The 27,559-nt window shown below is 50.9% G+C and overlaps 1 protein-coding gene across 2 annotated transcripts, besides 3 other annotated features; it reads right to left on the bottom strand.

The window, feature by feature from the left end:
* TUBA8 (tubulin alpha 8) lies at positions 1,736-22,659 on the bottom strand. 2 transcript variants are annotated; one of them, NM_018943.3, is made up of 5 exons: positions 22,600-22,659; positions 11,767-11,989; positions 9,164-9,312; positions 6,434-7,114; positions 1,736-2,625 (listed from the first exon to the last, which is right to left on the bottom strand). In NM_018943.3, exons 1-5 carry the CDS (start codon positions 22,600-22,602, stop codon positions 2,332-2,334), a joined length of 1,350 nt encoding a protein of 449 aa, NP_061816.1. In that variant the 5' UTR covers positions 22,603-22,659; the 3' UTR covers positions 1,736-2,331. The 2 variants fall into 2 exon arrangements, with proteins under 2 accessions (NP_061816.1, NP_001180343.1); NM_001193414.2 differs by having other exon boundaries at positions 22,629-22,659.
* Positions 22,493-22,882: a silencer, noted in NCBI's record as "silent region_13449". NCBI's record gives its function as "represses an Ori minimal core promoter by ATAC-STARR-seq in GM12878 lymphoblastoid cells {active_cell/tissue: GM12878}" and the evidence as "EXISTENCE:reporter gene assay evidence [ECO:0000049][PMID:35858748]".
* Positions 22,963-23,162: an enhancer, noted in NCBI's record as "active region_18652". NCBI's record gives its function as "activates an Ori minimal core promoter by ATAC-STARR-seq in GM12878 lymphoblastoid cells {active_cell/tissue: GM12878}" and the evidence as "EXISTENCE:reporter gene assay evidence [ECO:0000049][PMID:35858748]".
* Positions 27,048-27,549: an enhancer, noted in NCBI's record as "H3K27ac hESC enhancer chr22:18588685-18589186 (GRCh37/hg19 assembly coordinates)". NCBI's record gives its function as "activates a minimal SCP1, AML or CMV promoter by ChIP-STARR-seq in primed H9 embryonic stem cells {active_cell/tissue: H9 hESC(primed)}" and the evidence as "EXISTENCE:reporter gene assay evidence [ECO:0000049][PMID:30033119]".

Here is a 27,559-nt window from a genome sequence, read left to right as displayed (position 1 = left end):
CCAGTTCTAAAACTCAGTCTCCTGCTTCATCAGCAGAACCACTGAAGCTGACAGGGCTGGCAGTCCCCATGGTTAGACAGGGACTCAAGCAAAGGAGGAGAAGTGGGAGAGGAGAAGCAGTTGGGAGGAGCAGGGATACATCCAAGGCCCTTGTGTATCATCCCAAACTTCCCTGCTGACCCATCTCCCTGTATTCATGCCTCTTAGCACTTTTGTGACTTTGCCATTCAACCTAATTTTTAACCTAATTTGTGTTAATCTAGAGGAAAGGAACATATCACACAAGCTTTGCCCCCTCCCTAAGCCCTGCCTAGCAGGTGTGCTATACTCCCCCTAACAGGGCATACTCACATATGCAGGAAGTCCTTTCAAGGTTATCTGAGTAGGTCTCATCTTTATGGAGAGAGAAGGATGCATCCTCCTGAAGGGGGACTGACAGCTCCTGACCCTGATTCTCTACCACGGCTAAGTGTGTCCAGGCCAGTTCCCATGGAACCTGGTGCAGGCACGACCTCTGGCAAGAGCGGTCACAGTGGACAACAGATCTGGGCCTCTAGAAGTAACTGGCATCACCTCATGTCTAATCTTCCTTTCCGTGGGACATTTTACTCTGTTTCTCTTAGAGCTTCCAAGGAATACAGGACAGAAACATCCACACGTAAAGAAGTGTGCACTTAATGCCCAGGGACCTACCATGGGCCCAGCCCCAGGTATCTTCCTAGCTGGTTCATGGCCTTTTGATTACTCCTTAGATTCCGCCAGAGTTGCCCACTTCAGGGAAGAGGAGCAGGTAACCACCCCCTCCTTTGCAAATGATACAGATTGTGCCTCTCTCCATCCAGCATTTTATCAGGCAGTAGCTGGAACCTGGCACGAACACACAGTGTTAGAAATGGCGTAGGGTAGGCCAGGCACAGTGGCTCACGCCTGTAATCCCAGCACTTTGGGAGGCCGAGGCAGGCCAATCACGAGGTCAAGAGATTGAGACCATCCTGGCTAACACGGTGAAACCCCGTCTCTACTAAAAATACAAAAATTAGCCGGGCATGGTGGCGGGAGCCTGTAGTCCCAGCTACTTGGGAGGCTGAGGCAGGAGAATGGCGTGAACCCGGGAGGCGGAGCTTGCAGTGAGCGGAGATCGCACCACTGCACTCCAGCCTGGGCAACAGAGCGAGACTCCATCTCAAACAAACAAACAAACAAACACGGAAACATTGTAGTTAGGGTGGACAGGACAGGAGGAAAGGCAGGCCCTGCATCTCAGCTCTACCTCCTACTGTCTCCAACACCTAAAACATCCCAGTCTGTTCATCTACACAATGAGCAGAATATCCATTTTGAGACTGTTGGGAGGATTGGATATAAGGTCAGTATGAATATAGAAATAAGGTATACATATCCTGCTTGAAACCTTCCAAATCCTTCTGTTTCACTTAGAAAAAAATTCTAAACTCCTCTCCATGGCCTGTAAGGCTGGATGCTCTCTGGCCCTGCCTGGCTCCTGGGTCTTGTCTCTCTGACTCTTCCCCTCTCACCATCCTCCAGGAAACAATCTCCTTTCTGCTCTGCAGACGCTCCAAGCTTGTTCCTAGCTTTTGCACTTGCTTCTCCCTGCACCTAGCATCCTTTTGCACGGCCCAGGCCTCCATGAGGCTGTCTTGACCACGCAGTCCACAGGAGCACGCCCAGACACTCTCTCACCACTGCTTTTTACTTTCTCTCACTTGACACCAGCTGACATGATCTCATTCACTTTATTTATGTGTGTATGAGGGCAGGAAATGTGTTCGTCTCGCTTATCACCAACTCTCCAGCTCTCAGTGCCTAGGACAGGGTGTGTATTGGAATATGTGATGGGGGAGTGAATGCATGCTAAGTCTAGATGATGCCCGGAGCGGGCTATAGACCCACTCATGTGAACGTCCGCTCACCCCTGCCCCGGAATCTTCCCAGGCCCAGATCTCCCCTTTCTCTGAGTGTTCCCACTCCCCAGCCAGCAGGCCATGTTTTGGGGCTGGACCCAGCCCGATCTGGAATTGAAACTCCTGATTAGGCCTCCTCGCATGTGAAACTGGGCTGCAGCCTCACCCGCCGGAGACAGTGGCCCTCACTTTCTTTAGTGACACAAAGCTGCTCCTACCCAGGGAGGGCCTGATGAAGCTCAGTGTCCACTTAGCCCAGTCGTGCCACCCTGGGTACTGGGGCCAGGCACCCTCCTCCTGGGTAAGGCAGGAATCAGGCTGGGGCGGGGAGAGTGTTCTGTTCTCTTGAACATGTGCTTTGAATGGCACAGCATAAATAAAGAGACACAGCCAAGGGGAAGGTATATATTTAAAATTCCTCCCCTTCATTTTCTTCTTCAAACGAATCAGTCCCCACTTCTTCATAATCCTTCTCCAGGGCAGCTAAGTCTTCCCTGGCCTCAGAAAATTCTCCTTCTTCCATCCCCTCTCCCACATACCAATGCACAAAGGCCCGCTTGGCGTACATGAGGTCGAACTTGTGGTCGAGGCGGGCCCAGGCCTCCGCAATGGCCGTGGTGTTGCTGAGCATGCAGACGGCCCGCTGCACCTTGGCCAGGTCTCCCCCGGGGACCACGGTCGGGGGCTGGTAGTTGATGCCCACCTGAGGGACACAGAAAGAGGAGGAGCCACAGAAGAAGATACAAGTCAGCCAGAGGATAACTCAGGATGGGACATCTTGGTCACTTGGCATGGCTTCAAGTCATGGTCAGGGGCGTGGGAGTGGGGCTATGGGATGCAACAGGCGGGATGGGACTGGGGAAGCCAGCAGGTGGCAAGGGAGAAGCTGAAGAGAAAGTGGAAGCAGGCAGGGCAACAGAGCAAAAACCCATCTCTACCAAAAAAAAAAAAAAAATTAGCCAGGCCCGGTGGCTATGCCTACTAGTCCCAGCTACTCAGGGAGGCTGAGGTGGAAGGATCACTTGAGCCCATGAGGTCAAGGCTGCAGTGAGCTACAGTGGTTCCACTGCACTCCAGTGGCAGGGACACAGCAAGACCCTGTCTCTTAAAAGCAAAACAAAAAAAAAAGTAGATGGGGAAGGGCTGGGCAATCAAAGGCTAGAGAAGGAGGACAGGGCTGGTATAGGGGGCTCAGCAAGTAGGCAAATGAGAGTCACGAGCGACATTAGGAGCGGGTGGGAGGTGTCTGGTACATGTGTATGTGTAACAGGGAAACGCATTCTAGATTCAAAGCTGTTCAAAAGTGTACTCTCTCCCAAGTGGTCATCTGAAGTTCCTCTTAGTTGTGTTGCGAGTAAATTTAAGGAAGTTTCCCTGCCAAGAGTGAAAACTGTTGGAAGAGGTCACAGGGATATTCCAGAGCAATAAATAAAGAGAGCCGAAAGGCCCCGGGATGGTGTTGGCGTTAACCAGGCTCTAGGTTTTTGGGAATTGGGGCTTCTTAGAAGAAAAGCAGGGTCTCCAATCCAAGAAGGTTGTTGAAGGTCTTGCCAAGTTCTGGCAGCATGGCAGGTCTCCCAGGCTCAGCCCAGACCCGTCTTACAGTGGTGCTGCTATCCTGGAAATCTCTCTTCTTCCCAACACACGTCCCAAACCAAAGCCAACCCCAGGAACCATGGGAAACTGGGACAAGTCTAATGTGGCAAACCGTGACATTACTTATGAGAACTATAGTGATGTCCTCAGCCACCTCTCCCACTGAGACCACCACATTTTAATCGCCAGTCTCTTAAATCCATAGCTTTAAAATGCACATCCTCCTGAGGGGCTGGTGTGGGAATGGCAGCCAGCTGTGTGGCAACATGGGTAGCCAGGCAGCCACTGGACCCACAGCAGCCGTCATTCCTCTTAGGCACAGGTGGCATCTTGGAGGTGGAGGTGATACTGGGAGAGGGGCAAAGTGGGGAAGGGAAAGGCAATGTATATGAATTTGGCCACATCACATACATTGCTAGAACTGAGCCGACTGCCATAAACCTTGTGCCTGGGCCAACCTGTTCTCCTCTAAGTGCTAACATCTCTTGACCTGAGTCAAGTGGGGACAAGTACTGTTGGAGAGAATGCAAGAAGATGAAGTTTAGCAGCATCCTCTCCAGGGAACATACTTTTCTTAGCTTATGCTAATGCTACCATAATGATCCTTCAGGACATAACTCCAGAGCTTCTGCTTTAAGGAGAGAGAATGAGGGGACATTTCCGCTTTGTTAATTTCCCCATCACCCACCATGTCTCTCATTCATTCTCTTTTTTCCCCATTCATTCTCCTACTAGCTGGTTGTTTGTTTCCATTTGAAAAAGAAAAAAGAATTTCATTTTTTGGAAGACCTTGACTGGTTTTGCCAGGATGATTAGAACTGTCACATAAAAAATAGGCATAGTCTTGGGGGGAAATTATATATGTAGCTAGAAGGATAGCAGTGAAAAGGAATGCTACACTCCTCACTCAGCAGAACAGCCAGGTCAAAGCCTCAGACCCATGCAGGGCAGCTATGAGGCCAGCACGCAGCTGGTGCCTCACACTTGTAACTCCCGCCAAGAAAACTGAGGCATGCTCATCTCTTCACCTCCAGCAACTGAGACAAACCCTGACACACAATAGGTACCAGTAAAACCTCTGAATGATTGAAAGCATGACTAGGGGCCAGGCTTGGTGGCTCACGCCTGTAATCCCAATGCTTTGAGAGGCTGAGGCAGGTGGATCACCTGAGGTCAGGAGTTCGAGACCAGCCTGGCCAACATGGTGAAACCCCATCTCTACTAAAAATACAAAAATTAGCCAGGCGTGGTGGTGCATGCCTGTAATCCCAGCTACCTGGGAGGCTAAGGCAGGAGAATCACTTGAACCCGGGAGGCAAAGTTTGCAGTGAGCCAAGATTGCACCACTGCACTCCAGCCCGGGCAACAGAGCAAGACTCCATCTCAGGGGAAAAATACAATAAAAAATAAAAAAAGAAATCCTGACTACAGGGCAGTAGTTAATGTGAATGTGGTAGCTGTTATGATGGCAGAATCTGACAAAAGACCATGGGTGGAGTGGCTGAGCTGTTCATGTGCACAGCCAGGCTGCTTGCCTGCCGGTCCAGCTCAGAGGGGTGACTTCTACCATTCAGCATTCCTGGTCCTGGGGCCCCAGGGTCTACCCTCGCTATTTTGTATCTCCCCACTGACTCTCTGAGCCTGGCATTTTCCAGACTGCGGGCACTTGGTTACCACCAGCCACACGGCTTGCTGGTTTTTGCTTACTCCTGGTTAATGGCAATGGAAAATAGCAATCATAGAACAACTATAAAAGTATCTTATTACTCCAAATTGATTAAGATGTGCAGGATAGATATTTTAAGTTTTCAAAATAAATTGGGAGAACACAGCTTTTTGTTAGAGAGAGGCATCATACTCCTCTGGCAACTGGAATAATTTGGTTAACTCTAAAATTAAAATGGCCACAAAATCATGCTGTACAAAGAAGTGTAAAATATCCATTAAAACTAACTTTAGGTTGGAGGCCAGGCGCGGTGGCTCCTGCCTGTAATCCCAGCCGAGACGGGCAGATCACAAGGTTAGGAGATCAAGACCATCCTGGCTAACACGGTGAAACCCCGTCTCTACTAAAAATACAAAAAATTAGCCGGGTGTGGTAGCAGGCGCCTGTAGTCCCAGTTACTCGGGAGGCTGAGGCAGGAGAATGGCGTGAACCCAGGAGGTGGAGCTTGCAGTGAGCCTAGATCGCGCCACTGCACTCCAGCCTTGGTGACAGAGCGACACTCCGTTTCACAAAAAAAAAAAAAAAAAAAAAGTCCGGGCACAGTGGCTCACGCCTGTAATCCCAGCACTTTGGGAGGCCAAGGCGGGCGGATCACGAGGTCAGGAGATCGAGACCATCCTGGCTAACACGGTGAAACCCCATCTCTACTAAACATACAAAAAATTAGCTGGGCGTGGCGGCGGGCGCCTGTAGTCCCAGCTACTTGGGAGGCTGAGGCAGGAGAATGGCGTGAACCTGAGAGGTGGAGCTTGCAGTGAGCCCAGATGGTGCCACTGCACTCCAGCCTGGGTGACAGAGTGAGACTCCGTCTCAAAAAAAAAAAAAAAAACAAAACTAACGTTAGGCAAATTGAACCAAATCATGAACACCAAAAGCACTGTACTTCAGGTGAGTAGATTTGGGCCAATACCAAATCATTACTTGTTGCTCAGTAAACAAAACCAAAGGTGATTAACCAATTAATCAATTTAAAATAGCACCAAACTTTTCTAAAATGGCCTAAACAGACAAAACTTTGACAGCACTTGTGTCTCAACCAAAGCTGAATTCCATTCATGTTACATTTGGTTGAAGTCCCCCTCCCCTTATCATCACATAAAGCCTGAAGCGCCCATGGAATTGCATATCCTTGGTCACCTCCCTCTGCTTCTCTAGTCCTCTCTCCCCTTCCTAAGTCATCAGCTCTCACCTTGAAGCCTGTGGGACACCAGTCTACAAACTGGATGGTCCTCTTGGTCTTGATGGCAGCAATAGCGACATTCACATCCTTGGGCACCACGTCGCCCCGGTAGAGCATGCAGCAGGCCATGTACTTGCCATGTCTCGGGTCGCACTTCACCATCTGGCTGTTGGGCTCAAAGCAGGAGCTGGTTATCTCGGCCACAGAGAGCTGTTCGTGATAGGCTTTCTCGGCAGAGATGATGGGCGCGTAGGTGACCAGCGGGAAGTGGATGCGGGGGTAGGGCACCAGGTTGGTCTGGAACTCAGTGAGGTCCACATTGAGGGCCCCGTCAAAGCGGAGAGAAGCAGTGATTGAGGACACAATCTGACTGATGAGGCGGTTGAGGTTGGTATAGGTAGGGCGCTCAATGTCAAGGTTCCTGCGGCAGATGTCATAGATGGCTTCGTTGTCCACCATGAAAGCACAATCTGAATGTTCCAGTGTGGTGTGGGTGGTCAGGATGGAGTTGTAGGGCTCCACCACTGCAGTAGAGACCTGGGGGGCTGGGTAGATGGCAAACTCCAGCTTGGATTTCTTGCCATAATCCAGGGAGAGGCGTTCCATCAGCAGAGAAGTGAAGCCGGAGCCAGTGCCCCCACCAAAACTGTGGAAAATCAGGAAGCCCTGCAGGCCAGAGCAAGCATCTGTCTAGGGAGAGCAGGACATGAGAAGAAATCATGAAGACAAGTTTCCGAGAACACCCCACAGTAAAAAAGCCAGACCGCCCACTCTGTCTGCCTCATATTTTTTTGTGGATGAAATCAAAACAGCTTTGAAGAAGTAAGGAAACAAAAGGAGTTGTATTGATCTTTGGAGGAGTGGCTAAAATATGGGATGGGGCCAGGCACAGTGACTCAATGCCTGTAATCCCAGCAGTTTGGGAAGCTGAGGCAGGAGGATCCATTGAGGCCAGGAGTTCACAACCAGCATGGGCAACATAGTGAGACCTCGCATCTACAAAAAATTTTAAAAGTTAACTGGGCGTGGTGATGCACACCTGTAGTCCCAGTTACTTGGGATGCTGAGGTGGGAGGATCACTTGAGCCCAGGAGCTCATGGCTGCAGAAATCTATGATCACACCACTGCACTCTGGCTTGGATGACAGAGCAAGTCTCTGTCTCTATTTTTTTTAATAGGATGACAAGCTGCAGGGGCACACGCCTCTAGGTACATGAAGGTTTCAGCCCAGTAACTTGGTTGAACAGGGAATGAGAGTTTCAGAACCACAGTGGATGGTGACTTTGCCCTTTGAGGGCCCCAACTCCTTGCCCACTTTCCCTGCTCTTGTCATTTGATTTTGTGGGAACTGCTGCCGACACACTTCAACCCAACCTTGGAAGGTGACTCAGGGCACCAATTTCAGAAAGGTACATGGAGCCAGAAAGCCTGAGTTCTAATATCAACTTTGCCATTTCTTGGTTGTAAGAACTTGAGCAAGTTACTGAACCTCTCCAAACTTCTGTTCCTTTTTTTTTTTTTTTTTTTTTGAGACAGAGTCTCGCTCTGTCGCCAGGCTGGAGTGCAGTGGTGCAATCTTGGTTCACTGCAAACTCCGCCTTCTGGGTTCAAGCAATTCTCCTGCCACAGCCTCCTGAGTAGCTGGGACTACAGGCGCATGCTACCATGCCCAGCTAATTTTTTGTATTTTTAGTAAAGATGGGGTTTTAACATGTTGGCCAGGATGATCTCAATCTCTTGACCCCGTGATCCACCCCCCTCAGCCTCCCAAAGTGCTGGGATTACAGGCATGCGCCACCATGCCTGGCCACTTCTGTTCCTTCTTAGTGAAAATGGGGACAATAGAAAATCCTCATAAGGTTATTGTGACAATTAAATAAAATAGCATAACATGCTGAGCAAGGGCCTGATACGTTGTAAGCACGGATGTCAGCTCTCACCAGAGAATTCATAGAATCACAGGATTTTCCCACTGGGTGTGATTTGAACTTTTGGGGACCACAGACAGCTTTGAGGCCAATGACCCTGACAAGCCCTCCTCTAAACAGAAAAAGTGAATATATGCAAAAGTTTGGCACCCTTACCTCCCAGGGAAAGAACATGTGATCAGGTCCAAGCTTTTCCATTATACAGATAAGCAAATGGAAGCTTAAATAAATAAAGTGACACAACCTACAACTCAAGAGCTTTGTAGTCCAACTGAGTTCAAACCCCAGCTCTGCCACTTTTTAGCTGTGTGACCCAGGCTAAGATATTGAACCACCCTGGCCCTCAATTTCTTCATCTGTAAAGCACAGGAAGGACACCTCCTAAGTCTAATTATTAAGGATTAAATGAAGGAATGTGCTTAACATCTGTAATGGCACTTGTAAGTGCCCAAATGTATCAACAATCTCTTCCTCTCCTCTTCCAAGTTAAATGCTTTGTTAACCTGTGTTTCCGACCAGCAGAGACCTCATCCTGCCTTATACCCGGAACCTTCCCCAGATACTAACAGAGAGTATCAATGAGTATGAGTAGGGCCTCAGCCTGGAACACAGTCTATGATGCCAACACAGAGGAAGGGGCATCACCCCTGTGCATGCTTCTTACAGAATTTAAGCAGAAATTCCCAAACCTTAGGAGCTCCATCCTATAGCCAGGGGTCAGATGCCTCTCCCTAGCCTGATCAAAGAGGCATGGGGCCAAGCCTGTCCACTCCAGCCTGACCCACCCGTCCCCTGCCCTCCTGATCTTACCAGCTTCCGTATGCGGTCCAGCACCAGGTCAATGCTCTCCTTGCCCACCGTGTAGTGGCCCCGGGCATAGTTGTTGGCTGCATCCTCCTTTCCTGTGATCAGCTGCTCTGGATGGAAGAGCTGGCGGTAGGTTCCTGCCCGAACCTCATCTTCCAAGAGAGGAAGACCATTAGGTCCTACTGCCCAGGGGAGAAGCCTCCCTCCCTACCACACTACCGCAGGACCCCTTCCGTTCTCCCCTACCTATAAAACTCCATGGAGGTTTGAAGCCAGACCACCTCGTAATGAATCTGCAAAAGGCTAAGAGAATTCCCGGGTAGCTCAGGGACTAACAGAGCCAAGGCCTGTGGCTCATGTGGGCGGTGAGAAGCAGGCTGCCCTGCTGGCTAGAACCCTAAAAAGACTTAGCTTTACAAAGCTCATCGAACATCGCCGGGCCCAGTGGCTCACGCCTGTAATCCTAACACTTTGGGAGGCCGAGGCGGGCAGATTGCCTGAGCTTAGGAGTTCAAGACCAGCCTGGGCAACACGGTGAAACCCCATCTCTACTAAAATACAAAAAGTTAGCCAGGTGTGGCAGCGTGCGCCTGTAGTCCCAGCTACTCGGAGGCCTGAGGCAGGAGAATCTCTTCAACCTGGGAGGCAGAGGCTGAGGTGAGCTGAGATCTTGCCACTGCACTCCAGCCTGGGCAACAAGACAGAGCGAGGCTCCATCTCCAAAAAAAACACAACAGCAACAAAACTTGGGCCGGCCGGGTGCAGTGACTCACGCCTGTAATCCCAGGATTTTGGGAGGCCAAGGCAGGCAGATCACGAGGTCAGGAGATCGAGACCATCTTGGCTAACATGGTGAAACCATGTCTCTACTGAAAATACAAAAAAATTAGGCAGGCGTGGTGGCCGGCACCTGTAGTCCCAGCTACTCGGGAGGCTGAGGCAGGAGAATGGCTTGAACCCGGGAGGCGGAGCTTGCAGTGAGCCGAGATTACGCCACTGCACTCCAGCCTGGGCGACCGAGCGAGACTCCGTCTCAAAAAAACAAACAAACAAAAAAACAAAAAAAAAGCTCATCGAACACCAACGCCAATTGCCTCTCCTCCCTTCCACCTTGACTCCTCCAGGTTTCCCTTTTGTTTTTTCTTTCATGCTGCAAGGTGTACCAACAATTTTTTTTTTTTTTTTTTTTTTTTTTTTGGAGACGGGGTCTCGCTCTGTCGCCCAGGCTGGAGTGCAGTGGCGCGATCTCGGCTCACTGCAAGCTCCGCCTCCCGGGTTCACGCCATTCTCCTGCCTCAGCCTCCCGAGTAGCTGGGACTACAGGCGCCCACCACCACGCCTGGCTAATTTTTTGTAATTTTAGTAGAGACGGGGTTTCACTGTGTTAGCCAGGATGGTCTCGATCTTCTGACCTCGTGATCCACCCGCCTCGGCCTCCCAAAGTGCTGGGGTTACAGGTGTGAGCCACCGCGCCGGGCCAAGGTGTACCAACAATTTAACTTAAGTCCTTTTGCATTAAAATATTCTAGGGACATGGAGAAAGATTCAGGATGATCTGCCCAGAACCTAGACCCCCAAGAGTTGTCCCACCCCTCAACTCCACCTCATGGTGGCAATAATATATGTCAGGCATTAGACATATTTTAGAATAATGGGAAGCAAAGCTATGTTCCAAGTCATAGAGGAGCAAGAGCCCTAGAGAGGCCTTTAAGGGGTCTCTGCTCACTTCCAAGGGTCCACACAAAGCGGATACAGAGCAGATCAAGACACATCAGGCCCCAACTATGTCACCTCTTCTCTTCGGGGTTCCTCTACTCCCTGCAGAAAAATCATCTGTGCAGTGGCCCAGGAGGTAACCTGCACTTTGTGCATTGGTGCAAAGCATCCAGGGGGTGGAGCATCTGCCCTCTGTTGCCCCTAGACATTGGTGTCCAGGCATATACTTCGTGCCCAGTCCTCTTTGCAGAACTGTCCATCTCTGGCTTGAGGAGCCAGGCTTGGAGCTGGGGAAATCCTGATATTCAACTGAGAGTTGACCCAGGGGTCAGAAACAGGGGAAGTGGCACTACTGGGGGATAGTGTGGGAAGGGGAGATCTGCCTAGACACAAGGCAGAATTCCTGTGTTTCCTAAACCTGAATGAACCTCATTCCAGAACTCCAGCGGCCCCTGGCTGTGAAGCAATGTGCCTGCTGTGATAGGCCCCTTTGTGTGTAAGATGCTGTGAGGTTATACCCACCCCGAGGGCAGACTCAGAAACCTATACTTAGGGAAATTGCTCACTTAGGGGTGTCTTATAATTTCTAAAATTATTTGGATTTTCTTATCCTTAGTATTTAGTAGCGATGTGACCATTTTGACCTGGTGCCGCAGGTTTTGGGGTTGAAGTGGGAGGCATTTTGTTCTGCATAGAGTCTTGATCACTGTCATGAGATTCCCCGAGACTGTGGGGACCCCAAGGAGCTGACAGATGTCACGTGGGGTGGGAGGCTGCGGTTGCACCATCCCCACCTTCCAGCTAGAGACGCTGCTTCCTTAGCTACTGTGGGCCAATGCCTCTGCAGTTTCGAGATGTTCTCTGTGGAGGGGAACTCCGCCCCCACTCACCCACTACAGTAGGCTCCAGATCTATCATGACGGCCCGGGGCACATGCTTCCCATTGCCAGTCTCGCTGAAAAAGGTGGTGAAGGAGTCATCATCGTTGATCTTGCTAGCTTGAGCATCAAAAGTGCCGTCTGCCTGGATGCCGTGTTCCAGGCAGAAGAGCTCCCAGCAGGCATTGCCAATCTGAACTCCCGCTTGGCCCACGTGGACTGATATGCATTCCCGCTGTGGGGAGAGGGAAGCAACGAGGTCAGAGAGTCTGGGCCCCCAGCATGCCTTTGCCCTACATCCCCATAACATTCACCTTGCAGGCCAGCCAGGCCCCAGCCCCCCATTGCCAGTTGGCGTTGAGGCTGCAGGTGCCCCAGCTCTATAGCAGCTGGACCAGGACTTAGATCCAAAGAAGACACAGCTGTTTTGTGCTTTGCTCTAAAGGTTGCTTCCCAGGGTTGACCTTTTATACCAGGAAAGAAAAAAGGAGGGTGGTTGCAAAGATGAAGCAAGGGGCTAATTCCAAACCACAAGATTCCTGCACTGGTGAAGAAGGCCCAAGGAAGAACTGGCGATCATGGCAGAAACTCTCCTTCAGCCTACGCCCACACAAGGCAGCATTCACAGCTGCTCCTGACCCTGACTTTCTGACATTGTGCACACATGCACACACACAGTCTCAGGATATCACAGAGCAAATGAGCACTCATGAAAGGAACATGCTCTGGAAGTATGCGCCATGGCTGTCAGTAGTATCATGGTTACCAATGTAGAAATAAAGGATTATTTATTACCCCAAGAGAGGATGGGGAGGGTATAAATTAGGCCCTTCCTGCACGCTGAACAATTGGAAAATCTTTGCAGCCCCATAGCCTGCCCCTTGCCTATGCCAGGCCAAGTGTTAAGTAAAGCTGATGTGAAGCCACAATTGCCTGATTGGTATTCGTACTAACAGCTTAAGATGGGGAGTGCACTGATGGGAATGTAAATTGGTTCAGCCACTGTGGAAAGCAGTTTGGAGATTTCTCAAAGAACTCAGAACTACCATTTCACTCAGCAATCCTGTTACTGGGTATATATCCAAAAGAAAATCATCCTACCAAAAAGACACCTGCACTCACACGTTCATCACAGCACTATTCACAACAGCAAAGACACGGAATCAACCAGGTGCCCAGCAATGGTAGACTGGATACAGAAAATGTCATTCATATACACCATGGAATACTACGCAGCCCCCAAAAAAGAATGAACCCATATCCTTTGCAGCAACATGGATGCAGCTGGAGGTCATTATCCTAAGCAAATTAATGCAGGAATAGAAAACCAAATACCACATGTTCTTATAAGTGGGAGCTAAACATGGGTACTCATGGACAGAAAAATGGCAAGAGTAGACACTGGGCACTACTGGAGCGGGGAGGGAAGAAGCGGGCAAAGATTGGAAAACTAACTATTGGGTACTATGCTCATTACCTGGGTGACAGGATTAATCGTACCCCAAACCTTGGCATCACAATATATACCCATGTAAGAAATCTGCATATGTACTCCCTGAATCTAAAATAAAAGTTGAAATTATTAAAGAAAAAGGGGGGTGGGGAGAGAGACAGTGTGTGTGTGTGTGTGTGCACGTGCACACGTAGGCGTGATAGACTCATCCTCCCACCCACACCCTGCCCTGGGGAAGCAGTGGCCCACACAAGGCGACACTGTGCCTGGGGCAGCCGCCTGAGCCCAGCAGGAAGCATGTGCCAGGTCTGTGGGTTTCTATTTTTACCCATGACCTGCCCTGGCATTTTCCAGCTCCGGGTAACCCAAGCCAGGGGCAGAGCCTCCAGAGGGCACGGCTGGGCACAGAAGCCAGTAGAGTCCACGTCAAAGTGTGGGGCTCCTGGAGACGTGGAAGAAATTCTGGGCATGGAGAGCAGGGCAGCTGCCCTGAGTAGCATCTTGCGGGGTCAGAGCATCAGGACCATTGCCCCCTAGTTCAATTTTACAACTGTGCCCCCACTCTAGTCCTGTCTCTGTGCTACAGCTGAGCGACACCTGGTCCTTGCCTTGAGGGAGGATGAGCACAGGGGTGAGCGTGGGGCAGCCCGACGGGGGTCGCAACCCGCTGGATCTCCGTGAGCCTGGTGGCTAGGGAGGGGATTCACCCACAGAGCTGCCCACGGCCCCAGGTTCCCATGTTGCCTTCTCAATTTACTTGCTGTGCTGTGTGGCCTGGGCTGAGTTACTGAGCCTCTCCTCATCTGAAAAGTGTAAGTTAGCCACAGTTGTTGATGCTGTCTTGCCATTATCATTTTCATTACGGTACTACCTGGTAGCATTTTTCTGCACCGGGAAGTAGCACACGTAGAGGGAGCTCTCAGGTCCCTGCTCCTCTCTCCTTTATTGTGGGGTCTATTCTCTGCCTCCATCTGAGGGCTCAATTCAGGCCTAAGGAAAGCAGCATCTGCATCCAGAAACCACCCACAACCAGCGAGTTATCCACCCAGACCACGGCGTCACATTCAGCATGTGGCTGTGACTTCCCAGGGAGGTGTGGAAGCTGAGGGGACACTGGAGAGGCCCGAGGGGGGCCTGATCCTATGTATTTTCCTTCTAAGTGACAGTGTCCTCTGTGGTCCTAACCCTCAGCCTTCTGGGTCTGTCGCCCCCTCACCACCACCGCATCCCGACCACCCTCTAGTCCTGCCTACAGTGCTGCCCGGCCCCCAGCCTGCTCTCACTTCTGGAACATTCTGGGGCTTTCCAGGGAGGACGCAGGGATATTTTGGGAAAATCGAAGATCATGGGAGGAAGAGTCAAGGATTTGGGGGACCTGAAAACCACTAGCATGGTGACAACGTCTTTAGCCTCTTTTAATGCCCTCATTAATCTCACACTAATACATATGCCAGTCTTTTACAAAATGTCTGTCTCTTTCTCTCTCCCCCGCCCCCGTCGTGCAAACACACACACCCCTTAGAAAGAGCTATTTTTCCTATTGAACTAGCTCATAAGAATAATTGGAGGCATAAAATAGACTCAGAAATGACTGACAGATTCATAGGTGCTCTCAAAAGTGAAAAGTAGCTACACCAATCAAGAGAGAAGGAAGATCCCTGCTAACAGGAACTGGGCTCCTTGGAGAGACGGAGGCGTCCAGGTCCAGGGTGGGGAGTGTGCTAGATGAGCCTGGAATGTCGCATAGCGCCTGGAGGCACGGAGGCTAACCAAGGGGCTGCCCAAGCACCTGAAGAGGCTCCTGCTGCCTAAGATGAGACAACCTGAGCCTCACAAGTACTGATGGCAGCATTTGAGTGAAGCAGGATGCAAGATGAAAACCCACAAGTCCTCAAAGAAAACCCCCAGAGAAAAACTCATTTGTCCCTATCCAGACAGCCCCGTTAGTTAGAGAAGGCTCTTTTTTCTTTAATTGAAGAATGTCTGCTAAGCAATGTGGACCGAATAATAGATTATCAAATATTGCCCTATTCCATCTTCTAATTACGTGATTGATTTGGACAAGAACGCCAACACCATTAGGTGAAAGACTGATGGGGAACTGGATCTTCGCCGAGAGCCAAAGAACCACTGTTATAGTCACAAGGGGGGACGTAACTACCAGGGTCGCCAGCCTAAGGCCGCGATCAATCTCAGCATCGCTAACTGTGGGCCAACCCGACATCGAGGACCTCCTGATGGGACGCAATGTGACACACACACCACCAGTGAGGACTTCTTCTCAAAAATACTCAGCCCTCATCACTGAGCCCTGTAGATTCAGTTTCCACTTCACAGGAAACACAGGGATCAGAGGGTTAATTAAGTTCAGTGATATCAGAGAAAACAAAATCAATCCAGAAGGTGAGACATCCTACAGGGCAGCTGGTCCAGCCTTTTTTTTTCTTAATTTTTTTTATTTACTTTCTTTTTTTTTTTTTTTTTTTGAGACGGAGTCTCACTCTGACGCCCAGACTGGAGTGCAGTGGTGCGATCTCGGCTCACTGCAAGCTCCGCCTGCCGGGTTCACACCATTCTCCTGCCTCAGCCTCCCAGGTAGCTGGGACTACGGGCGCTCGCCACCACACCCGGCTAATTTTTTGTATTCTTTTAGTACAGACAGGGTTTCACCATGTTAGCCAGGATGGTCTCGATCTCCTGACCTCGTGATCCACCTGCCTCAGCCTCCCAAAGTGCTGGGATTACAGGCGTGAGCCATCGGGCCTGGCCCAGCCTTTTCAACTCATGAGAAATGAAGAGCTGGGAGGGGCTGTCCCATGTCAAAGGAACTAAGGCACCACCAAGCACCACCACACGCATCATGGGGACTCTGACTGAATTCTTGTTTGAACAAATCAAAATATTTGGGGGACAAATAAACTGATTTGCTTTGTTCAGCGTATTCATAAAAATGTGGTTAAGTATGAAAACATCCTTATTTTTTAGAGTTGCATCCGAAGCATTTAGAGGTAAAATGTCATGACGTCTGTACTTTAAAATCCTTCCCAAACACAGCAAATAACAGATGGAAAAATCATTCTTCTTCTTAAATCTAGATAATAGGTATATGGGTGGCATATCACTCTACTTTTCTGAAGGCTTAAAATTTTTCATAGTAAAAAGCAAAAATCATAATAAAGAAGACAGAGAAAGAATAGGAGCACGGACTGCCCTCTCCAGAACCCCCTTATCCTGGGCCATTGCACGCAGTCACTTACTCAAATAATAATTGACTACGCGCCTACATTGCTAGGGCTTTGAAGTTCCATGAAGAAATCACAAGTGAAATTCAAAGCTGCACGAGGCTTCATGGCACTGTGAGGTCCGTGCCCAGCCCCAGCACTCTGCAGGCCTCTTGCACCTGCTCCTAGCAGGGAGGAGGAGCAGCCCACAGCTCCCGCATCGAGCTCCCGGCTCAGGCACTGAGCTCGACTCCTGCAGCCATGCTGCCCCATTACCCTCCCCAGCCTTCGGCCTGGAAGTTCCACAGAGCAGACCCAGTGCTGAAGCCCGTGGGACGCATCCTCACGTCTAAGAAAAGGCATCCTTCTATCATAACCAGGGATGTTATATCGGCTCCGAACATTTAGGATACCAGAGCTGGGCCAGTCAAGGGCATCCTTCTATCATAACCAGGGATGTTGTATTGGCTACAAACATTTACGATACCAGAGCTGGGCCAGCCTCATGGATCACCTAATATGATTCCCTCTCCATTATTTTACAGATGAAACTGCTGAGCTCAGAGAGGAAAAGGGACAAATTCAGTATGTCACAGCACTGCAGCAGCAAAAGAGCCTGGACCAGAATCCAGGGCTGCTGACCCGGGCCTGACTTCTTTCTTTTAGGCCACATGGCCTCCTGCCTCACTTGCAGCTCTGAACTCCCAGGGCCCTGGGGTGTGCCCACATCTGCGCCAATGCAAGACCAAGTTCGGATAGCAGAACTCCAAACAGGAAATGTCTCTTGTGCAGAGCGAAATGGCGAATGGCTCATGGGGCGGCCTCTTTGAAAATGGGTCATCTTTCTCTGACAGAACCAGAAGTCCGCTTCTCAGGGCCCACGTGTGCAGCTGGGGTTGGGGGCAAGGGGAAGCTGACCCAGCAGAGGATATTTAAGTCATGTGCCCGCTCCAAACTCATATTTCAGATTCCTCTGTCTAGCCAATCAGAGCACATGCCTGTCACTCACACTGCTCCTGTCTCTCTCAGTTCTATTTTCAATCTGGGCTTGTAGAGCTCAGACAAGTTCTGTCCTCCTTGGTCCCTGTGAGGGGAGGGGGTCCCTTGTTTGCTGCAGAAGCCTGTCCCACCCAACTTCTTCTGGGGGGTGAAGAGGAGGGAGGTGGAGGGACCAAGGAGGTCCCTTCCTCATGAAAAGCATGCCACTTCTCACACAGACCTCACGCTGGGATAGCTACAAAAGGCACCTACTCATTTCTACAGCAAATCTTTTTGTGTGGTTGCATTCGAGACAGCATTGTGAGGTTACTGGGCTAACTCTCATTCATCCTTCAGGTATCCAGTTAATTGTCACTTCCTAAGGAAAGTCTGCAAAACCCCAAGCCAGCATAGGGCCCTGCCATGTGCTCCCCCATCCCCTTCATTCCTGTCATTGTAATCATCACACCGTATTATAGCTGCCTGTTCATTTTCGCACCTTTCTAGTAGAGAACGTAAGCTCTGTGAGGGCAAGGAACCTTTGTTTCACTCAAGGAATCCCCAGTACCGAGCCCGGTGCTTGAATGTAGCAGGTGCTCAATTAACACAGGGAGGACTGGAATGAAAACCTTCCCTGAGGGGCTGCAGTCCATCCAACAAGGACAGCGGCCAGGGCCTAAGAAGTGTACGGGTCAAGTGCAGAGGGAGTTCCAAGGAGAAGGAGACATCTTCTAGCTTGGTTTCCTAAAGGAGGAATATTCGCAGGGACCCTGAAGAAGGCAGCCGGCCAAGATGATCTGGGGCAGTTCAGGTGGATGCAGGAGCAGTGTGAACAAGAGGCAGTAAAACGCAGGGTGGTTCCCGCACACTGCCCAGTCTGTCCGGAGCGCAGGCTGAGGAAGGGCAGGGCCAATGAGACATCTGGGCCACCTGTGAACACTCCGCCTGGGGAGCCACTGCCCTGTGAGCCAAGGCCCCTCGCTGGGAGGCATGAGCCCAGTGCCTGTGTTTTGCAGAGCATCAATAAAAGAAATTCTAGAACTTTGCAGCCCTTTTATAATTTTGCTGCAAGAAGCCCTTTTTTTTTTACATCATTCTTATATTCTATTTTAATAGTAGTCATTTCCTTTTGCTTTGTTCTCAGAGGACTAAGATAAGCTAATCACCATCCTTGGCAAAAGGAGACTTTGAAGCCTTAAAAAGGCTGTCTTGTGATACTATTTCCAAGTATCACAAGACAGTAAAAGTGGCATATCATCTGGGAGAGGGGCCGACGTGGACCACAGTGTGTGCCCTGTGAAAGCCTGGCACCACCCACACTCCCTGACCACCTGTGCTCTCATGCCCCAGTTGCTGTCAGGAAGCATGTGATTACACCGAATTATCTCTAGTTGTCAGGCTGGGATAAAATAGATCACATATATCTTAGGACCTAGGTCAGGGATGGCAAGTGAAAAGCAGGCCCACAGTGTCACAGAGGGGTAATTAAAGTAAGGACAGATGTGGCTCCTGAAGGGCTGCTGAATTCTCTCTGCTCAGAACTCTTCGATCATAGGGCATATTTGAGATCACTCATAACAAAGAATAGATAGCAAGCCAGACACAGCAAAAACAAAGTCGGCCTAAATTCACTTTAGCGAGTGAAGGTGGCTCGCGAGAGGGGCTCAGATGATAGGCACTGCAGTTAGGGCAGCAACAGAGCTCACAGGAGGCCAGCTCTGGCCATGAGGCCATCTGCTAAGGAGACTTCCAGCATAAGAGGCCGGAGGGCGTTGAAGGCCTGGGCTGTGGCTGGCACTGGGGCAGGTGCAAGAGACACTTAGGAGTTTCAATCCGATGCACACAGTGCCTGCTCCATCTCCTGCTCTCTTCTGCAGCTTATTATCTGAGAGAACTCCTAACAGGAAGACACTGCAGGGGAAATGCCAACCACAAAGGCCACAGATAGTGCTGTCCGTCCCTTGCGGCTTGAGGGAAAAGGAGCATTTGGTCTGCTTCCTCCCCCCGACAGTGCCACATCCTCCTGCCCACCCCCATCACTGGCCCGCTATCCACCAGCTATTTCCCCCACCAAAATTATTTTTAACTTTCATCTCCCTTTGAAGGTCACTAGGAGAAAGCACATTCAACAGTGGCATTAACCCCCACCCCAAGCTCTGTATGGGCCTGACCCAAGGCTGGGGGCTCCCAATGGACTCACCAATCCAGCAGCTCTGCCCCAGCCGCTGCCCTGTGAGCCAAGGCCCCTCACTCGGAGGCATGCGCCCAGTGCTTCTCGGGAAACCTGCCTTTTGTGATGGGAGGGGAGGAGGAGGCAGCAGTGACCTGCAGCCCCTGGGAGCCCACACAGTGCTCTGAGGTCAGAATACACCTATCAACTCCACAGAGCTTGGCCATGCCTGTCTACATGGGGAGACTGCAGAAGGCTGCAGGCAGAAGGGTGTCCATTTGGCCCCCAGAACCCTCTAACTGCCCATTTTTGCAGGGAGACGGGCTCCTTCGTGCTCTCCAGTCCTAACGGAATGGAGTTAAAGAAGCCGTGTTGCAGATGTTCCCACCTCCCCATAAACCACAGAAAACTTCTCTGTGCCCTGGTATCATTGGCATGGGCTTGGCTTAGGGCACCTGGCCAGGATTCTCCATACCACTTCCCAAAAAAGGTGTCATAGTCTGAGTTCCCAGAGAGCTGCGTGCTAGAACACTGGGAATGGATGGGAATGGTCTGCTGTGGGAGTAGCCTGCCGGTCCCAGCACGGGCAGGTGGCTCAGGACAGAGGCTCTGGTGCCCAGCAGATGTAAACTCCAGCCCCTACGCAGCTTCTTACCAGCTGTGTCACTTTAGGCTCCAGGACAGAAATGCTAAAGGGTATTGGTGGTACCGTGCAGTGGGTAGCTGGGGAGAAGGGGTTGGGGGTAAGTTCACAGAGGAAAAATGCTCATCTGCCTAGCAGCTAGAGAAATGCATTTAAAAATACACTTAAGGATTAGTTACACTTTTCTTGCCCAGAGCCTACAGAAATTCCAAATCGAATTCTCCTTAACACCAAGGTCACCTCCCCCAAACCCCCACCAGGGAGGGAAGTGAAGGGGACAGGACAGCAGCCTGAAACTTAATCCTTAGAAGAAATACAGTCATTTTTGTAAGGGTGAGATTCTAGGGGTCTAGGTTTATAGATGTGTCATTTTAGCCTTTTACAAATGAGCCAAATGATATTTTAAAAGTTTCTGTGAGTGTAAAATGTTCAACAAAAAATATTAGCCATCAAGACAGTGCAACGCACACAAGTTAAATGTTCTAGATAGAACCTACTAGACAAAATTGAGTGTTTCAAAATAAATGAAAGGTGGTCGCATTTCAAAATATTTAACCATAGGTTTTCAGCTAAACACCCAAATTCTTAAGCACGTTCAAAATAAAGTTTTGCTGTTTGAATTGTTGATTTACCAGGCATTGTCAGAAACACGTCTGTGGATCACACATTCAAGCTTGTGCACAGGGCTGGGTTAAGATCCTCGACACGCCCCTGTAAACATCCTCTGGGCTCCACTCTGTACCACAATGGCATTCAGATCCAAATTAAAGCATGCAAGGGAAGCACTTGGAAAATCCTAAAACACTAGCTACCTGCTAGATATTATAAATATTAAATATCAATTCTAGAGTATGCAGCCTAGCATTTGCTTCAAAATTATGGAGGGAGGGAATAAATGAAGTGAGACAGGTCAGAAGTTGGTAATTATTGAACTTAGATGATGTATATAATCGCTAATTATACCATTTGCTCTCCGTTTGCATATGTTTGAAATTCCCTACCATAAAAAGTTTAAAAATAATGAAATCTAAGTGGAGTCTTGGAAATTTGAATTATAACCCTCTTCATTTCGCAGGTAAAACAAACACATCCAGAGAGGTTAAGTGACCTTCCTGAAGTCACACAGCTAGCTGCAGAGCCAGGAGTCAAAATTCTGAACTGGCAGCTCCGGGCCCTTTGTGTGGCCTCATACCAGGGTCCTCAGGCAGAAATAGGTTCCTGTGGCCACCCTCCCTAATATTCCCAAGTTCTTTCAGTTCCCAGGGGTGTCTGGGAGCCCGCTAGGAGGAGGGAGGGTGCTGACAAAACTGAAGCTGGAAGGCTAGAGCTCCGGGGGAGCCAGGAGGCCCTGGGCACGGGCCAAACGTAACAGGGCGGGGCGGAGGGGGTTCTCGCCTGCTTTCTGGATCACTGACACCTGGAGCAAGCCTGCCCAGGGAACCCGACCTTGGCCATGACATAGGCTTATTCTGCCCTCACTCTGCCCCCAATCTTTCCAGCCCATCTCCCTACTGCTGAAAGATCAGGGGTCCAGGAGGGATTCCTGGGATTCTGGGCTTTGGGAAAGTGGACTGGGGGCAAATGTTAACCACCAGGGGCACTGGGGGCGGAGAGGGGGACCCTAGAAAGAGGAACTGAGTGTTTGCAGCCGCCCCTCAGTAAGATCCAGGGGCGGGGGCAGGGAAGGGAGCAGCCGCGATCCCCCTAAGCCAGGGTAGGAAACAGGTCGAAGGTCCCCTGGCCTTTGGAAGCAGAGACTTCTTACTCCCAAAGTCCTTCGACTCTGACCGCTGGAAAGACTTGGGAGCTGCTGAGTGCGCCCGGAGGACCCCGCCGCGCTGGGGCTGTGCGTGCAGCAAACCCAAGCCGCTGGCCAGGCTTGCGAGAAAGACCTCCACGCGTGGGGGGACCGTGGCGCCCTAGGTCCTCTGTCACATTCCGGGCCCTGTCACATTAGGCTGGGTTCGGAGACGTGACTGCATCTGGCCCCCCAGTCGCCCCGGCCCAGACCACCCATCCAGAATCCCCGGACTCGCCCTTCTCTCCACTCTGTCCACAGGCTGCCCATCTGGGGACCCCAGAATCTCGCCCCCTTCTCCGTCGGGCTCCCCAGGGCCTCCCTCCCCCTCGTCTGCACGCAAAGCTCCCTTAGGTCCCTTTAAGGAACAACTGGCCCCTGGTCTCTATTTCCCCCATACGATAAAGGGCACCGGGTGTTCCCGCCCGAGGGTGCGGACTCCTCGACCCTGAACTGCCACCCCCAGAAGGCCTTGAGCCCTGCGGCTCCAGGAAGACGGGTCCGTGCGCCTCCGCGTAGACTCGGCTCTCGGTCCTACGCCTGCCGCGCGCCCGCAGCCCGCCTGGCCCCGGGAAGCCTCACCATCGCTGCCGCTGTCCTCGCCCGCGCACCTCTCAGCTGGGCCTGCCCGCCCCGACTGCTCCAGATACAGCCGCCTCCGCCGTTGTGACACACCGGGAGGGGGGGACGCCGGGGACAGGCGCGCCGGGCCCGCAGCTGCCCCCCGGCATCACAGTGCCGGGGAGGGGCGGGCAGGTCACAAAGGCCCCTCCCCGCCCACCCGCGGCTCAAATCTCCGGGTCCTCGGTCCCGCCTCAGCAGCCGGGGGCGCTCGCAGCGGGGACTGCGCCCGCGGGGGAGGCTGCCCTATTACCAAAGCGCACGTGTCCACGTTCCAACACCGCCGGCGAGAGCAGCCTTCGTGACCCCAGCTGCCGGAGAAAGAAATGTAAAATGCAGCCAGGCGAATCGCGCGGGTCTCCCCAAACTTCCGTTCTCCTCCGACCCGCTGGAAAGGCTCCTGACTGGGGTGCAGCTGACCGGAGCGGGCTGCAGCGGGCCCGGGTGCCAAGGTGCCGTCTCAGCTGGGCGCCCTAGGGCCGTGTGTGCTTGGCAAGCTGCAGGGCCTCTGCTCCCAAAGCCTGTGCCTCCTGCCGCCAAGGCCCGCCTGGTTGCTGGAGACGGAAATGAGATGGCATACACAGAGCTCCTGGTACAGGCAGGTGCTGAAGACTGTTCCCGTTTTTACCCTCTCCCCGGATACCTCGCACCTCCACCGGGATTTTCAAATCTCCCCCCTTGATCCCTTCCTACTTTTAAGCCCCAAACGTGTCCAAGTCACATCTCCTATGTAATCCAGAACTCATACCAGGGTTCCCCTGCCTCTGCCCAGTAGTAAGACCCGCCAGATGCTGTTGGTTGCCCCCTGCTCGGGAAGGGGTGGGCACTTGGTAAAAGCCCCTCTTCACACTTTAGATGTTGGCCACGTTGTCACCCTGCCCATCTCCCCTCACTTCCCCCCAGGTGGGTGAGGGGCTGGATGGTCTTTGTTCCTTGTTCTCACTGCTGTTTCTTGTTCTTTCCCTCCAGTGGTCAGTTCCATTCATGTTGAAAGGTGTACCCCAGCCTCTCTCTTCCACTTTCCTCAGCACCAAGCCAACGCAGGCAAATTCATAGGTTTTCCTTAAGACAATACCACTTTAGCCAGACGTGGTAACTCCCCAAGTTTCCAAGCACAGTTAGAGATCTTCCTACCCTTCTGCTCCTAAGACATGCCTGCTTGTGGCCAATAGAGAATGAGAGCAGATTTCTGCTTACCTATGCGGCAATCTGTTCTGTTGGCCACCCATTCATAAACGATAGTACATGTGTCGTAATCATCTTTGCATTTGAGAGAGTACCAAACACAGTGCTTTACCCACTGATACAAACGGTACTTAGTAAAGCATGCGTTGAATTTTTGTCTATCTTATAATGTAAGATCCTGACAATTAAGACTCAGGATTAAGCTAATTGTGCCAAGCACATGATAAATGGTCAATAAAGGATTTTGGTTATTAGTATAACTCTATGTGTATTTCTCTTCCAAACTCTCCCATAGCATATTCTATTACTTCTTCCATAGCATTTCTTTTATTTTTTATTTTTTTTGATGGAGTCTTGCTCTGTCGCCCAGGCTGGAGTGCGGTGGTGTGATCTAGGCTCACTGCAACCTCCGCCTCCCGGGTTCAAGTGATTCTCCTGCCTCAGCCTCCCGAGTAGCTGGGACTACAGGCGCGTGCCACCACGCTCGGCTAATTTTTTGTATTTTTAGTAGAGACGGGGTTTCACCGTGTTACCCAGGATGGTCTCAATCTCCTGACCTTGTGATCCACCCATCTTGGCCTCCCAAAGTGCTGGGATTACAGGCGTGAGCCATCGCGCCCAGCCCCATAGTATTTATCACTTTCTTTTTCTTTTTTTTTTTTTTTTGAGACAAAGTCTCGCTCTGTTGCCCAGGCTGGAGTGCAGTGGTGCGATCTGAGCTCACTGCAACCTCGCCTCCTGGGTTCAAGCGATTCTCCTGCCTCAGCCTCCTGAGTAGCTGGGATTACAGGCAGGCGCCACCATGCCCGGCTAATATGTATCTTTAGTAGAGACAGGGTTTCACCATGTTGTTCAGGCTGGTCTCGAACTCCTGACCTCGTGATCCACCTGCCTCGGCCTCCCAAAGTGCTGGAATTACAGGCGTGAGTCACCGTGCCCAGCCGTATTTATCACTTTCTAGTTTGGAGTATAGGGGTGTGTGTGTGTGTGTGTGTGTGTGTGTGTGTGTGTGTCTAAACACTCTACAAAACAGCAACACCTTAAAGGAAGGGGTTGTGTTATTCATCTTAGTGCCCTCCCTACCAAAAATAGCTAGTTGAGTGCATCAGGTGAGCTCAGTAAACATAGCTGAATAAATTCACTTTTCGAGTTCTCTTTGTGAACCACCACATAAATCATGAACGGGTTCTTAAGGTGTTGGGATAAAGATGATGATGATGGTGATGATGATGATACTAGTAATGACGGTGGCCCTGAATTGCCTTTCATTATGACAAGGCTCTTGAACCACCTCATCTTTCCCCTTTATGAAAATTTGGGCTGGAGGGAGCTATGACTACACCATAAATGCTAACTATAGCATCTCTGGGTTCCAGGGAGATAAAATAGGTTGGCTGTTATGGACTGAACTGTGTTTCCCCAAAATTCATGTGTTAAAGCCTAATCCCCAGTGTGACTGTAGTCAGAAATAGGGTCTTTAAGGAGGTGATTATGATTAAATGAGGTCCCAAGGATATGACCCTAATCCAGAAAGACTGGTGTTGAAGAGGAAGAGACACGAGGAGGGTGCAGACACGGAGAAAAGGCCACGTGACGACACACCGAGAAGGCGGCCATCTGCATGCCAAGGAGAGAGGCATCAGGAGAAACCAACTCTGCCAACATCTTGACATTGGACTTCCAGCCTCCAGAATTGTGAGAAAATTTATTTCTGCTGTTTAAGCCACCCAGTCTGTGGTATTTAGTGATGGCAGTTGTAAGCAGACTAAAACAGTGGTCTTGGAGTCTTTAGAGAAAAAACAATTGGCTGGGTGCAGTGGCTCACGCCTATAATCCCAACACTTTGGGAGGCTGAGGCGGGCGGATCAGCTGAGGTTGGGAGTTTGAGACCAGCCTGACTAACATGGTGAAACCCTATCTCGACTAAAAATACAAAATTAGCTGGGCATGCTGGCGCATACCTGTAATTCCAGCTACTTGAGAGGCTGAGGCAGGAGAATCGCTTGAACCCAGGAGGTGGAGGTTGCAGTGAGCCGAGATAGCACCATTGCACTCCAGCCTGGACAACAAGAGTGAAACTGTCTCAAAAAAAAATCTACTTCTTTTTGGTTTTTGTCCTCCTTCTTAAAATTATTTGATTTGTGGCATCCTGGATCCCCCATCTCACCCTGCTGTATGCTTTCCTCCCTGGGTATAAGTTTGGAAAGGGGAAAGGACATGTTTTTAAGTCCCTGTGATGTTTAATTTTATGTGTCAACTTGACTTGGCCACAAAGTACCCAACATTCATTGGTCGAACATTATTCTGGGTGTGTTTGTGAGGGTGTTTCTGGGAGATAAACACATGAATCAGTAGACCATGAAAAGCAGATGGCCCTCCTTAATGTGCAGGGGCCTCATCCAACCAACTGAAGAACAGAATAGAACAAAAAGGCTGAGAAACAGGGAACTTCTGCCTGCCTGACTGTTGAGCTAGGTAGGACATTGGTCTTCTGCCCTTGCACTAGAACTTTCACCAGCAGCTCTCCTGGTTCTCAGGCCTTGACTCAGACTGAAACCACGTCTTCACCTCTCCTGGGTCTCAGGCTTCAGACTCAGACTGGAACTACATCTTCAGCTCCCCTGGGTCTCAAGCTTCAGACAGACTGAAACCACATCTTCAGCTCTCCTGGGTCTCAGGCTTCAGACTCAGACTGGAACCACACCATCAGCTCTCCTGGGTCTCAGCCTTCAGACAGACTGAAACCACATCTTCAGCTCTCCTGGGTCTCAGGCTTCAGACTCAGACTGGAACTACGTCTTCAGCTCTCCCGGGTCTCAGGCTTCAGACAGACTGAAACCACATCTTCAGCTCTCCTGGGTCTCAGGCTTCAGACTCAGACTGGAACCATGTCTTCAGCTCTGCTGGGTCTCAGGCTTCAGACTCAGACTGGAACCACATCTTCAGCTCTCCTGGGTCTCAGACTTCAGACTCAGACTGGAACCACACCATCAGCTCTCCTGGGTCTCAGGCTTCAGACAGACTGAAACCACATCTTCAGCTCTCCTGGGTCTCAGGCTTCAGACTCAGACTGGAACTACGTCTTCAGCTCTGCTGGGTCTCAGGCTTCAGACAGACTGAAACCACATCTTCAGCTCTCCTGGGTCTCAGGCTTCAGACTCAGACTGGAACCACGTCTTCAGCTCTCGTGGGTCTCAGGCTTCAGACTCAGACTGGAACCACGTCTTCAGCTCTCGTGGGTCTCAGGCTTCAGACTCAGACTGGAACCACGTCTTCAGCTCTCGTGGGTCTCAGGCTTCAGACTCAGACTGGAACCACGTCTTCAGCTCTCGTGGGTCTCAGGCTTCAGACTCAGACTGGAACCACACCATCAGCTCTCCTGGGTCTCAGGCTTCAGATTCAGACTGGAACCATGTCCTCAGCTCTCCTGGAACTCAGGCTTCAGACTCAGACTGGAACTACGTATTCAGCTCTCCTGGGTCTCAGGCTTCAGACTCAGACTGGAACCACACCATCAGCTCTCCTGGGTCTCAGGCTTCAGACTCAGACTAGAACCATGTCCTTAGCTCTCCTGGATCTCAGGCTTCAGACTCAGACTGGAACCACGTCTTCAGCTCTCCTGGGTCTCAGGCTTCAGACTCAGACTGGGACCACGTCTTCAGCTCTCATGGGTCCCAGGCTTCAGACTCAGACTGGAACTATGTCTTCAGCTCTCCTGGGTCTCAGGCTTCAGACA

The sequence above is a fragment of the Homo sapiens genome, chromosome 22 (assembly GCF_000001405.40).
Source record: "Homo sapiens chromosome 22, GRCh38.p14 Primary Assembly".
Taxonomy (NCBI): domain Eukaryota; kingdom Metazoa; phylum Chordata; class Mammalia; order Primates; family Hominidae; genus Homo; species Homo sapiens.
Note: the sequence above shows the minus strand (reverse complement) of the source record. Positions and strands in the feature narration are given on the sequence as shown.